The sequence below is a fragment of the Homo sapiens genome, chromosome 1, assembly GCF_000001405.40.
Source record: "Homo sapiens chromosome 1, GRCh38.p14 Primary Assembly".
NCBI classification, from domain to species: Eukaryota; Metazoa; Chordata; class Mammalia; order Primates; family Hominidae; genus Homo; species Homo sapiens.
The window spans coordinates 211,427,249-211,443,732 of record NC_000001.11 but is presented as its reverse complement, the minus strand read 5'-3'; the positions used below and the strand labels follow the sequence as shown (position 1 = coordinate 211,443,732).

The window sequence follows — 16,484 nt, the reverse complement described above, 5'->3', positions numbered from 1 at the left end:
AGCTGTTGGCTAAGGACTGCTCTAAGCAACCAGAGGTCATCCACAAGTCCTTGCCACGTGGTCCTCTCACAACATGGCCACTTATTTCTTCAAAGCCAGCAGGGAAATCTCCCTCCAGTCAGCTATGATAGAGTCTTATATAACATAATATGATTATGGGAGTCACTGTATCATCCCTTTTGCCATATTCTTTTGGCTAGAAGCAAGGCACAGATTTTCCTGCACTCACAAAACTCACTGGTAACACCTTAGGGTGTTTGTACCACTCCAGACATTAGATTTGAAAAGTGTTAAAACAAAGCTACTGTTTGTTTTGTTGCTGTTGTTGTTTTTAAGACAGGGTCTCACTCTGTGTCCCAGGCTGGATGGAGTGCAGTGGTACGATCATGGTTCACTGCAGCCTCGATCTCCTAGGCTCAGGTGATCCTCCCATCTTAGCCTCCCAGGTAGCTGGGACTACAGGCACGTGCTACCATGACTGTCTAATTTTTAGTAGAGATGGGGTTTCACCACGTTGCCTAGGCTGGTCTCAAAACTAAAGCAATCTGCACACTTTGCCCTCCCAAAATGTTGAGATTACAGGTGTGAGCCACCACACCTGGCCTAATTATTATTTCATAAACATGTGTATTATTTATGCTAATATATGAGTTTCTAATTGTTATTTTTTTGAATGTTAGAAATTTCTTTATTATTATTCTTATTAAGTGCCAGCTTAATACTACAGAAAATTTCAAATAACCCTTGATAACCCACTTTCTTTGCTCCCACCCGAATTCTTGATCAAGAGTTTTTCAAGTAAAGACATGCTTTTCTGGTCTTCTCTCTTCTGTATAAAACTTTATGAAATAAAGGCAAAAGATTGTGTACATCTTGCTGGAAAATGCTGCTCAGGGCTCTGGAGATGGTGGCTGCCTGGGCTCCCTTCACTGTCCAGGTCCTGAAAGACTCTTGTTCATGAACTGTCTCTTCACAAAGCAAGTCCACCACGTGCTGGGTTGATCATTCTGAGGGTTGAAAACTTGCTCACAAAGTCTCAGTCCAGTCTCTTGCCTTAGCTGTTGTAAACAGGCTCTCATCACTTCATCTTCCTGTTTGCAGGTTTGGCATAAATTGCATTAAGTGGAAAACTAGGCTCTTCAGGAACAGGAAAATTATTGATTCCCTGTGTATACATTTCTTTCTCACCTTGGCTTCTGGAATTACACTTTTGGAGTTTCTTCAGACACTCAGAAATGTAGAGAGGTATATATATCAAGGTCCTGTCAGCTTCATTCTTAATTTCATAGTTTTTGAAGAAGACATTGGCCTTGAAGTAATAAATGGCTTCATCCACAATATCTCTATCTTTTGTCTCTCTAGGGGCAGGTCCTTTGAATTGACTTTTGATAGATAAGAATGCCATGTTTCCAATGAGTTTGTTGTCAGGATCCATGAGAGAAGAGTGGTAAGCCGGCATCTTGGTGGCACCCGGGTTTCCTCTAATTGTTACGTTAAACGAATTAGTAATGAATTATATTTCTTAATTTCAATTTTAATTTCTAAAACAGAAATTAAACCTTTTTTTGAGACAGAGTCTCTGTCACCCAGACTGTAGCGCAATGGTGCCATCATAGCTCATAATACAGTAGATGTTGATAGACACTATTCAGATAAACAGCAGCTCTTTGGGCTTCTTAATAAATTTTAAGAGTATAAAGTGTCGGCTGGGCGTGCTGGCTCATGCCTGTAATCCCAGCACTTTGGGAGGCTGAGGTGGGTGGATCACGAGGTCAGGAGATAGAGACCATCCTGGCTAACACGGTGAAACCCCACCTCTACTAAAATTACAAAAAATTAGCCGGGTGTGGTGGCGGGCGCCTGTAGTCCCAGCTACTCAGGAGGCTGACGCAGGAGAATGGTGTGAACCCAGGAGGCGGAGCTTGCAGTGAGCCAAGATCATGCCACTGCACTCCAGCCTGGGCGACAGAGCAAGGCTCCATCGCAAAAAAAACAAAACAAAACAAAACAAACAACAAAACAAAACAAACAAAAAAACAAAAAAAGAGTATAAAGTGTCAGAGGGTAGATGGAATGAGAACTATTAATATAATAACACCAAATAGTTGGAATTTTCCAAACATTTTTTGTGATCCATAGAAATGCATTTTACATTGTGACCTAGCACATACATATTACATGGATATATAACTGAGGCAAAGATTTCATGAAATAATGCTTTTTTTTTTTCTGAGATGGAGTTTCGCTCTTGTTGCACAGACTGGAGTGCAATGATGCGATTCCAGCTCACTGCAACCTCTGCCTCCCGGGTTCAAGCAATTCTCCTGCCTCAGCCCCCCAAATAGCTGGGATTACAGGTGTGCACCACCACGCCCAGCTAATTTTGTATTTTTAGTAGAGGCGGGGTTTCACCATGTTGGTCAGGCTGTTTTCAAACTCCTGACCTCAAGTGATCCACCTGCCTCAGCCTCCCAAAGTGCAGGGATTACAGGCATGAGCCACCACGCCCAGCCTGATTTCATGAAATAATACTTATTCTTATGTGAAGTGCACATTGATATTTTCTACTCTATTGCTTATCTTTTAAAATTTCTGGTCACAGTCTAAATCATTGATTTCATTAAAAACTAAATAGGTCAGGACCTAAAGTCTGAAAATACCGATTGATCATTGGAACCAGTTGAAAAGCATTAAAAAATACATATTTCCAGGGCCTCAGAAACTGAGATTCTGGTTTTAATGGGTTGGAGTGGGGAACTAAAATCTCTGTTTATTCTGTTTCCCAAATGCTTTGGTAACTTTGGAATCACTGCTGTAGTCTAGATTCTTGCTACTCAAAGGGTAGTTGTCAGACCACCATAAACGTTATCTGGTAGCCTGCTAGAAATGCAGAATCATGAGCCTCATTTTGAGATCTATTAAATAAGAATCTGCATTTAACAAGATCCCGTAGATCAGCGGTTCGCAACCATTTTGGCACCAAGGACTGGTTTCATGGAGGATATTTTTTCCATGGACTGGCAGGGGATGGTGATGGTTTTGGGATGATTCAAGTGCATTGTATTTATTGTGCACTTTTTTTTTTTTTTTTTTGAGGCAGTCTCGCTCTGTTGCCCAGGCTGGGGTGCAGTTGTGCAATCTTGGCTCACTGCAACCACTGCCTCCTGAGTTTGAGAGATTCTCATGCCTCAGCCTCCAGAGTAGCTGGGACTACAGGCATGTGCCACCACACCCAGCTGATTTTTGTATTTTTTAGTAAAGATGGGGTTTCGTCATGTTGGTCAAGGCAGGTCTCAAACTCCTGGTCTCAAATGATCCACCTGCCTCGGCCTCCCAAAGTACTGGGATTATAGGTGTGAGCCACCATGTCTGGCCAGTGCACTTTACTTCTATTATTATTACATTGTAATATATAATGAAATAATTAATTATACGACTCACCATAATGTAGAATCAGTGGAAGCGCTGATATTGTTTTCCTGCAACTAGGCAGTCCCATCTGGGGGTGATGGGAGTCAGTGACAGATCATCAGGCATTAGATTCTCATAAGGAGCATGTAACCTAGATCCCTCACATGAACAGTTTGCAATAGGATTCGCGCTTCTATGAGAATCTAATGCTGCTGATGATGTGACAAGAGGCAGAGCTCAGGCTGTAATGAGAGTGATGGGGAGTGGCTGTAAATGTAGATGAATCTTCACTCACTTGCCCGCTGGTCACCTCCTGCTGTGCAGCCAGGTTCCTAACAGGCCACAGACCAGTACCAATCTGTGCCCCAGGGAGTGGGAACCCCCACACTAGATGATTAATATTTACATTGAATTTTGAGAAGCACTAGCTGGGCGCAGTGGTTCACACTTTGGGCGGCCAAGGCAGGCAGATCACTTGAGGCCAGGAGTTCGAGACCAGTCTGGCCAGCATGGCAAAACCCTGTCTCTACTAAAAATACAAAAATTAGCCGGGTGTGGTGGCCTCCCAGCTACTTGGGAGGCTGAGGGAGAAGAATCACTTCAACCCAGGAGGTGCCTTTGAGGCCTGGAGTTCAAGACCAGCCTGGCCAACATGGTGAAACCCCATCTCTACTAAAAATACAAAAAATTTAGCTGGGCATAGTGGTGCGTGCCTGTAGTCCCAGCTAACCGGGTGGCTGAGGCAGGAGAATCGCTTGAACCCAGGAGGCGATGTTGTGGTGAGCTGAGATCACACCACTGCACTCCAGCCTGAGCAACAAAGCAAGACTCTGTCTCAAAATAAATAAAATAGAGATGATAATATCAATAAACCCTTATCAGTGACATACTTGAGAGGTAAAGAGTGCTTCACTATACTTTTTGTAAAATTCCACACAAAGCATTTTAAAATCTAATATATGGGATGTCTTTTTAAAATGGTCACTTCTATAATGTATTTATATTTATAGCACAATTTGTATGCAATAAAAATATAAAATCTACAAATTATGGAATATGCCAGTGTCTCAGTCCATTCCTGCTACTATAACAAAATATCTTAGAGTGGGTAATTTATAAACAACAGAAATTTATTTCTCACAGTTCTGGAGGTTGGAAAATCCAAGATCAGCGCCAGCAGGTTCAGCGTCACTCCCTGCTTCCAAAATGGTGCTTTCTTGGTGCATATTAACATGGTAGAAAGAGTGAAAAGGAACAAGCAGCTTCCTTGCACCTTTTGTAAGGTCATTAATCCCATTCATAAGAGCTCTGCCCTCATGACTTAATTACTTTCTAAAGACCCCACCTCTTAATTGTAGCATATTGGCAATTATGTTTCAATATATGAATTTTGGGGGGTACATTTAGACCACAGCAGCCAATTTCCTAGTCCATGACATATATGTGAACATCCTGGAATACAGAGGGGTTGGGAGTATAAGTAACTCTCCATCTATGTATTTCCACAATCCCAATCACATTTTACACTCATACAGACACTCCAAATACTCTTTCTCCTCTTTCTGTGTTGGTTTCTAGTTTTCTGGTTAGCAATTGCCAAAGCAGGAAAATAAGAAAGCCCACGACAACGGAACTGTCCAGAGTTTCGTTTCTTTATGCAAGAGTATTGTGTCCTGGCTGGGCGCAGTGGCTCACGCCTGTAATCCCAGCACTTTGGGAGGCAGAGGCAGGTGGATCACTTGAGGCCAGGAGTTCGAAGCCAGGAGTTCAAGACCAGCCTGGCCAACACGGTGAAACCCCATCTCTACTAAGAATACAAAAATTAGCCAGGCGTGTTGGCACGTGCCTGTAATCCCAGCTACTTTGGAGGCTGAGGCAGGAGAATAGCTTGAACCCTGGAAGTGGAGGTTGCAGTGAGCTGAGATCATGCCACTGCACTCCAGCCTGGGCGACAGAGTGAGACTCTGTCTCAAAAAAGAAAAAAAAGAATATTGTGTCCCATTAGTTGAAGAATACAGTAATTTAGTTTTGTAGTTTTATTTATTTATTTAGAGACAAGAGTCTCACTCTGTTGTTCAGGCTGGAATGCAGTGGCTCAATATCGGCTCACTGCAGCCTCCGCCTCCCGGGTTCCAGTGAATCTCCTGCCTCAGCCTCCCAGGTAGCTGGGATTACAAGCGCCTGCCACCACATCCGGCTAATTTTTGTATTTTTAGTAGAGATGGGGTTTCACCATGTTGGCCAGGCTGCTCTTGAACTCCTGACCTCAGTTGATCTGCTTGCCTTGGCCTCCCAAAGTGCTAGGATTACAGGCATGAGCCACCACACCTGGCCTTTATTATTTTTTTAGAGACAGGATCTGACTGTCATCCAGGCTGGAGTGCAATGGCATGATCATGGGTCACTCACTGCTGCCTCAAACTCCTGGGATCAAGTGATCCTACTGCCTCAGCCTCCCCAGTAGCTCGGACTACAGGTGTGTGCCACTATGCCCAGCTAATTTTTAAATTTTATTTTTGTAGAGACAGGGTTGCACTATGTTGCCCGGGCTTGTCATGAACTCCTGGCCTCAAGTGACCCTCCCACCTCAGCCTCCCAAAGAGCTAGGATTACAACCATGAGCCGCTTTACCTGGCTAGTCTTGTATTTTAATCAATGTCTCCATAGAATTTGTACCTATGCTAACAAGGAAATATTATCAATTTGAGTTTTATCTTTAACTAAAAACTAGGCATTTGGATCCAGGAACATCAGAAATTCAACCGTGATATTTCAGATCTCAGGGAGAGGTTTCTAACTTTATTTTTTAGAGGAAGAAACTAAAGCTTAGGGGGTAATACGACTTTTCCACGTGAAAGGATAGGGTTTTCTCCCTCCTTTATCCCCTCCTTTAGAAGAGGTCTTTGATGAGGCATAGAAAAGAGAGACTGTTAGCATAACAACCCACTGGAATTATCACAGCAGAAAGTCAGAATTATTAAAAGTGTGTTAGTTTTATAGATATTTCACCCAAACATGATGGAATTATCTATATTGATATTTCAGGAATGAAATCATTTTCATGACTTCTTACTTCATTTTAATCCCTGAATATAATTTAACCTCTTCATTATACAACAAGCTGGGTAATACTAGGTTTTGTGGGGCCTAAAGCTTATACAATTTGAAGGACCCACTAAGAAAAAAGAATACAAAGTCAGGTACTTTTTTTTTTTTTTTTTTGAGACGGAGTCTCGTTCTGTCGCCCAGGCTGGAGTGCAGTGGCGCAATCTTGGCTCACTGCAAGCTCTGCCTCTTGGGTTCACGCCATTCTCCTGCCTCAGCCTCCCAAGTAGCTGGGACTACAGGCAGCCGCCACAACGCCCGGCTAATTTTTTTGTATTTTTAGTAGAGACGGGGTTTCACTGTGTTAGCCAGGATGGTCTCCATCTCCTGACCTCGTGATCCACCCGCCTCAGCCTCCCAAAGTGCTGGGATTACAGGCGTGAGCCACCGCGCCCAGCCAAAGTCAGGTACTTTTAAATGTGAATATTTATGTGCAATGGTAACAGAAATTACAAATTATAAATTTTACTTGACACAGCAGAAATATAACAAAATCCAGAAAAATAACATTCTATTTTTATTAACTGCTTGACATATCTATATATTATTTTTTCCAACTTTTTTGGATGCATACTCTTTGTCACTTCACTGTATGACTTTGTAATATCTTTTTTTATATATATATAAATTCAGTCCTTCCTCTGGCATAGTTGATAATTTTTTTTTAATTATAGGATACAAAATTCACAAGTATGTCTTTACACAGCTATGTAGGTACACTATTTGTATTACTGCTGCAGGGTTGTGCTAGGTATTGATGAGACCCAAATCCTCTGCTAACAATTTTTCCAATTTTTCGTATCTGATTATTTGACATTTTCTACAGATTACGTTCTACTAGGTACTTTTACTTTTTTTTTTTTTTTTTTGAGACAGGGTCTCACTCTGTCACCCAGGCTGCAGGGCAGTGGCATGATCTCGGCTCACTGCAACCTCCACCTCTCAGGTTCAAGCAATTCTCCTATCTCAGCTTCCCAAGTAGCCAGGACTACAGGCGCACACCACCATGCCTGGCTAATTTTTGTATTTTTAGTAGAGACAGGGTTTCACCATGTTGGCCAGGCTGGTCTTGAATTGCTGACCTCAAGTGATCTGCCTGCCTCTGCCTCCCAAAGTGCTGGGTTTACAGGCATGAGCCACTGCGCCCGGCCAGCTCTATACATTTCAAACCCTGTTTCTCCTCTAATACCCATTTAACTTCCAATGCCAGGCAACCTAGGACAGATTCACATTGTGGTAAGACCTCTGGCCCTGCACCTTGGTGTTACAAAAGCATATGACCATGTAAGCCCCATGCTAGGGACCCTCCCAGGGCCTTGGCAGGGGCCCTGAAGCTTAAGCTTCATCAGCTTCCTGGTATCAGGAAGCTCAGCTGATGAAGAAAATGGAGAGGAAAACAGCTTGGGAGGAACAAATTGGCATGAGAACGCAGGTCTCCTTACTGTGGTCCACAGTGTTTTCCACCAGAACATATTTTAAATCTTTTTAAAATTCTTCTCCATTAAATTACCTCTTGCTTTTGATTTTGTTTACATGATTCTTTCAGTAGATTTAACTTTTATCCCAGAAAGCATTATACCTCTCGAAAGTGAGAGTTTTATTCATAATTTGATCCATCAAAAGTACTATTCATATGGATAAATACAAGCTTGAAATTAAGAACAAATCCAGAGAAGTAATGCACTACTTCAAACTCCATTTAGTCAAACTACTTCTGTTATTCTGTCTTCCAGAGGTATGGTTACTGTTTTAATTAATCTACAAATAACAAAAAACGATTTGAAATAATGTCTAATATCTACATTTTATTATGCCCTTTTGAAGAGACCACGGTTTTCCCATAATTATGAATATTAGTTTTCCTGGAAAAAAGAAACAGTCCATTTATAAACTAAAATGCCTTTATTTCTTCAGTAAATAAGAAAATGAAAAACAAACAAAAATCCCTGTATCCTCTGCTGGTACATTTCAGAAATGTCACCATTTCAAACATAAGGAAATAATTTTCTTGATACATAAATACTAGAAGCCCAAGAAAATATGAAGGGGAAATTATCTATAGTCATATGCTAAATATCTCTGTAATCAAAGATAAAGATGCTTAATTTATCTGCAATCCTATTATAATTTACCTTGAGTTAATATCCTTGGGGAAAAGAATCCTTTAAGGAATTCTATTCAGTAAAACACTACATTAGGATAATATGAACAACATATTGTTTTATTTTTAAAAATAGTTTTAGAGATAGGGTCTTGCTCTGTCACCCTGGCTGGAGTACAGTGGTGTAATCATAGTTCACTGCAGCCTCAAATTCCTGGGCTCAAGCGATCCTCCTACCTCAGCTTCCCAAGTAGCCAGGACTACAGGTTGGCATCATCATGTCTGGCTAATTTTTCTATTTTTTTTTTTTTAGAGATGGGGGTCTCTTTATGCTGCCCAGGCTTGTCTCAAACTCCTGGGGGCTCAAGAGATCCTCCTGCTTTTGGCGTCCCAAAGTGCTGAGATTACAGGCGTGAGCTACTGAGCCTGGCCTACGAACAGCATATTAAATTCTAACATCGGCACAGAATGATACTCAAGATTATTTTTAAGTTGTCTGCCTCAGTGACAACGTAACAGTATCAAAATTTCCAATAAAAAAATCAATTAGGCACAGTGGCTCACACTTGTAATCTTCATTTTGGGAGGCCAAGGTGGGGCCATTGCTTGAAGCCAGGAGTACGAGACCAGCCGGGGCAACACAGAAAGACCATGTCTCTACAAAAAAATCTAAAAATTAGCTGGACATGGTGGTGTGCACCTGTGGTCCCAGCTACTTGGGAGGCTGAAGTGGGAGCATCATTTGAATCCAAGAGGTCTAGGCTGCAGTGAGCCATGATCATACTCTCACACTCCAGCCTAGGTAACACAGCCAAGACCCTGAATAAATAAATAAATGAATCAATGACTGAATGAATATAAAAAAAACAACCTAGCCCTCTCTTTCAACATTTACTTCTAACAGGAGTTTGTTTTAAAAGCAAATATCAAGTACACAGTTAGATGGGATACACATTCAATCATAAACCTAAGTGAGCAAAAATCCCAAGGATCTATAAAACTATCAAAGGCAACATAAAAGGCTTACCTGGCAAATTGCTGTTTCTGTTTGTTGTTTTTTGTAGACAGAGTCTTGCTCTGGCGCCCAGGCTGGAGTGCAGTGGTGTGATCTTCGCTCACCGCAGCCTCTGCCTCCCAAGCTCAAGCAATCCTCCCACCTCAGCCTCCCGAGTAGCTGGGACTACAGGCATGTGCCACCATGCCTGGCTAAATTTGTGTGTGTGTGTGTGTGTGTGTGTGTGTGTTTGTAGAGACAGAGTTTCACCGTGTGTGTGTGTGTGTGTTTGTAGAGACAGAGTTTCACCATTTCGGCCAGGCTGGCCTCAAACTCCTGAGCTAAAGCAATCCGCCTGCCTTGGCCTCCTAAAGTGCTGGGATTACAAGCCTCAGTCACCACGCGTGGTCTGCTTTCTTATTTTATAAAACACTGTGATAATTTTTTTCTTATATAATTTTTATTTTTTTCAACTTTCATTTTTAGACTTAGGGGATAGATGTGCAGGTTTGATTCCTGGGTATACTGCATGATGTGATCATTTTTAGACCTGAAAACTTTTTGTTGGAAACCCACAATCAGTGTACCTAATGCAAAGGAACATTACATCATGCTCTAAAAACAAATATTTGAGATTATGAAAACCTGTAATATTTGTTGAAAGAAGAAGACATAATTGCAAATGTAAACATAAGACGCGGGAAGAAAAACTAAGTAAGAAGTACATGGGCCAGGTACGGTGGCTCACACCTGTAATCCCAGCGCTTTGGGAGACTGAAGTGGGTAGATCACCTGAGGTTAGGAGTTCGAGACCAGCCTGGCCAACATGGTGAAACCCTGTCTTTACTAAAAATACAAAAATTAGCTGGGCGTGGTGGTGCACACCTGTAATCCCAGCTACTTGGGAGGCTGAGGCATGAGAATCGCTTGAACCCAGGAGACAGAGGTTGCAGTGAGCTGAGATGGCGCCACTGCACTCCAGCCTGTATGACAAGAGTGAAACTCCATCTCAAAAACAATAACAACAAAAAAGAAGTACACAGAGGCCAAGCACGGTAGTTCACGCCTGTAATCCCAGCACTTTGGGATGCCGTGGGGAACAGATAACCTGAGGTCAGGAGTTCGAGAGCAGCCTGGACAAAATAGCGAAACCATGTCTCTACTAGAAATACAAAATCAGCTGGGTGTGGTGGCATGGACCTGTAGTCCCAGATACTCAGGAGGCTGAGGCAGGAGAAGCACTTGAACCTGGGAGGCGGAGGTTGCCGTGAGGCGACACTGGCCCACTGCACTCCAGCCTGGGCGACCAGAGTGAAACTCTGTCTCAAAAAAAAAAAAAAAAAAAAAAAAAAACATGGAAAAGACTTTATCTTTTTCATGCCATCTGTAAGTCTTCTACCTTGCATAGAACTTTGGTAAAAGTATTTTATACGTAATTAATTAGGCATAATATTCAAGAAAGCAGACTTATTCTCCTCCTTCCCTACAACACACTTGAATATAAAAAAAAAGTAGGCTAGAATTGCCACAACTGGCTTGGACTTGAGGCTCTCAAGTTTTGCACGTGGGCCTTCAAAAACAAAATATAATTTCCAAACTCTTTATTATGTGGTTTACAGAGCATCTGAAGATTGGTTTCATGAGTCTGAACTTAGTGTGAAAGATGTTCAAATTCAAATCCCCAAGCCAGCGCATCAATGTTTTTGTAGGCTTCACAGTGCTGGGCTCCGCATCCTTCTTTGGCCGCCTTACACCAAAACGCTGAGCTTGGAAATCAAAAGGGTCAGCCCAGTTTCAGTCCCTCTGCAGACAATAAGTAGAACACATTAGAATAGATTTACTACCTATTTTATTATACATAATACTTACAGTAGAAAACAGAAATTTTGGACATCATTGTTTTTAGATGAGAACACGTTAAGCCTTGAAAAGTAAGTTAAATTAACACTGGAGCTTTACTTCAAACTCTAAACATATAGTCTTTAAAACGCTAATAATACTATTAATCATCAAGTTTTACCATTAAATAAATGTTTTAGATACAGTGGCTTTATTTCAGACTCCATTTCCTGTGGCCTAAAAAATGGGGAGAAAAATAAACTTCAACTATAACAATCTAAATTTCAAATGGTAAGAGGTTATTCTATGTGGAAAAAACACAAACAAGGATTTATAAAGACTGAGTGGAAATGAAAATAACTGACAGTAAATTTCTTGGATTTGCAAATTTTGAATACTTATTTTGAAGGTTGGAATGTTTAGCAACTTTTAACCTTAAATTATTTCAAATCAACCAAGTACTTAGTTTTGTGGAAATTTTGTGAGGGTGAGGCTCATTAGTGAGTTTTTAATTCACAAAAATAAAATCCAATTCCAATTACCAAGTAATATTTTAGAGTTATCTTAGATTGTACAACTGGCCACATATTTTAGGGAGGTACAACAGTTTATAATGGGATACAATACTTTGCACATATTAAATGTTAATTCCTATTGTATCTTTATCCTTTTTTCTCTTAAAAATTTTTTTCATTTTATTTATTCTCACTTTATTATAGTTTTCCTTTTTCCCAGAAATCACCACAACATTACAGTCTGGTATTTAGCATATAAGCATATTTGTTCTTCAGCATAGTTAACATTATCCAGTAGTATCTGATGCCATCCTGCTGTTAATTCTGCTGTTAATTCTGCTGCCTAGATTGCTAGACCCCAACCACAGCTTGGCAGAGAGTGAAGGGAGGTTTTGTTTTTGTACCCCTTTATTCTGGTCTAGTGCAAGAGGAAAGAAGAGCTCTCTGCCATTGCAGGTAGCCAGACTAATGCTAGGAAGGGAAAAAGCTTTAACTCTGAGTAAAGTTCAGAGTTATTCATTATTGCAGCTATCAAGGAGAACATTCAAAACTTGGAAATAAGGTTAAGCGATAGCTGCATGACCTTTTAATGTCATGTTAGGGCACTGTTTAAAAAGGCTGCCTAACAGTCATCTAATTCTCCAGGGAAAGTAATTTTGTTGCACACTGTATTCACTATGGCTTGGAGCTCACATATCTACATAACAAACAATTTTATAGCTAGAGGCTAACAAATAAAATGGATGAAGTGTGACAATTCTCTTTTCTGACCAGTAGAAAGGGTAATTTTAAAGATTATACTTTCATTGCCCTATAGAACTGACTAGTTTTGTATCTAATTTAGCAATCTTATCTCAGCATTCCTTTTTCCCCCATTCATTATAAAAAACAATAACCAAGTCTTTAATATTATCATTTCAACTAACTTTTTCATCCTACTGGTTCCCTCACTGAGTTAAATGAAACTTGGGCACATGCCCCCAATCTATTGTATTCTAATTTGAACCTATTTAACTCTCATCTTAGAATTATGTTTCTATGCAGTGGTTCATGCCTGTAATCCCTGCACTTTGGGAGGCAGAGGGCAGGTGGATCAGGAGGTCAGGAGTTCAAGACCAGCCTGGCCAAGATGGTGAAACCCCGTCTCTACTAAAAATACAAAAATTAGCTGGGCATTGTGGCAGGTGCCTGTAATCCCAGCTACTTGGGAGGCTGAGGCAGGAGAATCGCTTGAACTCAGGCAGCAGAGGTCACAGTGAGCCACTATCGTGCCATTGCATTCCAGCCTGGGTGACAGAACAAGACTCCGTCTCAAAAAAAAGAATAATGTTTCTAAGATTACAAGAATTTTACCTTGTATCACTGGGGCCAGAAATTGTGCTAAATGGCTATTACTAGCTGTAAGGGAGGCTGGGAATTTGAAGATTCACTTTTTAGTCTTTGTAAGCTAAAAAGAAAAACAAGAGCTTTCAAGAGACCAAACCTATAATAACTGTCACTAAAAATGCATGTGTGGTAGTAATGGCAGGGGAATGGTGAGAGAGAATAATCAAGAATGATCCCCAGATCAGGCTTGGGTTGTAAATCTACTAATATGAAGAATTCTGGAGAAGAAGCAGGTCAATACTAAGCACTGAGAAATTAAAAGCTTTATTATTATTATTATTATTATTATTATTATTATTATTATTATTAGATGACATCCACTGATTCAGCCCTGACATTATCCACAATTGTTATATGCTGGAGATTTTCTTTCTTTCTTTTTTTTTTCTGAGATGGAGTCTTGCTCTGTCACCTAGGCTGCCCAGGATGGCAGTGGTGCCATCTAGACTCACTGCAACCTCCACCTCCCAGGTTCAAGCGATTCTCACGCCTCAGCCTCCCGAGTAGCTGGAATTACAAGCATGCACCACCATACCCAGTAATTTCTGTATTTTTAGTAGAGACAGGGTTTCACCATGTTAGCCAGGCTGGTCTTGAACTCCTGACCTCAAGTGATCCACCCACCTCAGCCTCCTAAAGTGATGGGATTACAGGCGTGTGCCACTGGGCCCAGCCTGTGCTGGAGATTTTAAAGGAAGAAAAGTAATTTATAATTATCCAAATCCTTGTAATAGTTGGTCAGTTGGGTGGCAAATCCCAGCCTATCAATTATATAGTAGAGTGCCCCATCCTAATGAAACAGTTTATGACAGAATGCTTGCATTAGACATTGCTTGCATTAGACACTGGATTTGTGGCCTCCAAGAAAATTTTCCAAGCAAATGACTCTATTTACCTCCAATTTACTACAAAACAAACATTTGCAATGTAGGAATTACTTAGAAATTTTAGTTCAAGTGTGTACTAAACACAAATGAAATGTTTTTATAGAGTATAGAAGAACTGTAAAAACACAATGCAATGTTTATTTTGAGATACGGTTGTGCCTCAGTCGACATGGAAGTTTGGTTCCAGGACCTCCACATATACCAAAATTCACGCATACTCAAGTCTCACAGTTAGCCTTGTGGAACCAGCTGACAAAAAGTTGGCCCTCAGTATATGCAGGTTTTGCATCCCACAAATACTGTATTGTCAATCCACATTTGGTTGAAATAAATTTACATGTAAGTGGACTCCTGAAGTTCAAACCATGTTGTTGAAGTGTTAACTATACTTAACTTTATAAATACCATCAGCAACAACCATATTACCTTTTTCCTAGGAAAAATATCTGATGGTATTTATAAAGTTAAGTATATTTAAATCCTTTATCTGTCAAATATTAATTTTAGAATCTGATAAGGTTTAATTATTTATTAACCAGATTATTCCTCTTCTACAATTTGACTAGTTGATTATGTGGCAAATAAGGACACCAATCACACCAAGGTGGGTTGATATTATAACACTATAGGGTACCTATGACTTACAAGAGTCCTCTACTGAGTATGAAAACTTGTATCCTGCCAAGTCTGCCTGAAGTCCATCAATCTTTATTATACTTATTTTAAAGGAATCATCCATTTTGCAAAACTTTTAATTTCCAAAATTTGTATGCTTTAAATTTGGGAACTTTGTGCACAGTATTAAAAAACCATTTAGGATGATCCTTTAATAAGATTTATCCCATTAAAACAATGCATTTCTATAAAACTATGTCTTCCAGACTTTCTATATCCAGTTACTAGGTCATACAGATTTTACCTTTGCAATATTTCTTCTATCTGTTCTTTTCAATGCCCCAATCATTGTCTTTAGTCTGATCTATAAATTGGCTGTATTAATATTTATCTTCCTCACTAGGCTACAATAGCTTCCTGTAGGTTTTTTCCTTCCAAATCATTCTGATATTGAATTATATTCCTAGAACAAAGGTTAGAAAATGTCATTTCTGTTTTAAGATGTTCAAATGTTCCCAATGCCTACAGAGTAAAATCCAAACTAGTTCCAAACTACTACTTTGGTCTAATTTCTTACTACATGCCACTTCTCATCTTATGTTCCAGTTTCAACTGCAAATATCCTGATCCAAAATGAACTTTTGTTCCTCTTTACCTTTGCTAATGCTTTTCCCTCAGCCTGGAATGCTCTTTACCCTTTTTTCTGCCTAGTAAAATTTACTCATCCTTTAAGATTTGATTCAAATACCGCCATCTCCTTTGGGGAGGACTACATGATCTACCAATCTGAAACAGATTAATAATTGCTCTGGGCACCCATGGAATTGTACCCTTAGGGAAGTATTTATTTTCTATTAGCTTCTGCCTTCTTGGAGTCCATAGAAAAAAAAGCGTGAATAAATATAAAATAAGAAGCATAGTCACAAATACAGACATGAAGTGTTCAAGTTCAGATACCATATTAAGCAAGTTAAAGTAATTTTTTTTCTTTTTTGAGATGGAGTTTTGCTGTTGGTGCCCAGGCTGGAGTGCAATGGCACGATCTCGGCTCACTGCAACCTCCACCTCCTGGGTTCAAGCCATTCTCCTGCCTCAACCTCCCGAACAGCTGGGATTACAGGTGTCTGCCACCACGTTAGGATTACAGGTGTAAGCCAGCACACCAAGTCAAGTTAAAGCAATTTCTAAATGTATTTGTAAAGCACCTGATTTGTTAGGGCAGATAGTATCCTAAATATTCCATACAAGATGAAAACCAACTTTGTCATTTTGATCATATTTGAGAGTCACAGGACATTTTTACTTAAAAAAAATTTTTTTTTTGGCAAGTCGCAGTTGCTCATGCCTGTAATCCCAGCATTTTGGGAGGCCAAGGCAGGTGGATCACCTGAGGTCAGGAGTTTGAGATCAGCCTGACCAATGTGGTGAAACCCCATCTCTACTAAAAATGCAAAAATTAGCCAGGCATGGTGGCATGCACTTGTAGTCCCAGCTACTCGGGAGCCTGAGACAGGAGAATCACTTGAACCTGGGAGGCAGAGGTTGCAGTGAGCAGAGATCATGCCACTGCACTCCAGCCTATGCAACAGAGCAAGACTCCGTCTCAAAAAAAAAAAAATTTTTTTTGTTGT

The 16,484-nt window shown here is 40.3% G+C and overlaps 1 long non-coding RNA gene and 1 pseudogene across 1 annotated transcript in view, besides 1 other annotated feature; both read right to left on the bottom strand.

Annotated features, from left to right (window-relative positions):
- Positions 1 to 729: 729 nt before the first annotated feature.
- On the bottom strand, positions 730 to 1,479 carry ARPC3P2 (actin related protein 2/3 complex subunit 3 pseudogene 2; annotated as a pseudogene).
- Positions 3,965 to 4,188: a silencer, noted in NCBI's record as "fragment chr1:211612887-211613110 (GRCh37/hg19 assembly coordinates)". NCBI's record gives its function as "represses an EF-1alpha promoter that drives an FKBP-Casp9 reporter gene in an ReSE screen in K562 erythroleukemia cells {active_cell/tissue: K562}" and the evidence as "EXISTENCE:reporter gene assay evidence [ECO:0000049][PMID:32094911]".
- The window catches only part of LINC00467 (long intergenic non-protein coding RNA 467), a 49,781-nt gene continuing 44,494 nt past the window's right edge, over positions 11,198 to 16,484 (bottom strand). The window contains exon 6 of the long non-coding RNA NR_026761.2: positions 11,198 to 11,414. This is a non-coding gene — a long non-coding RNA (long intergenic non-protein coding RNA 467). The remainder of the gene's footprint in view (positions 11,415 to 16,484) is intronic.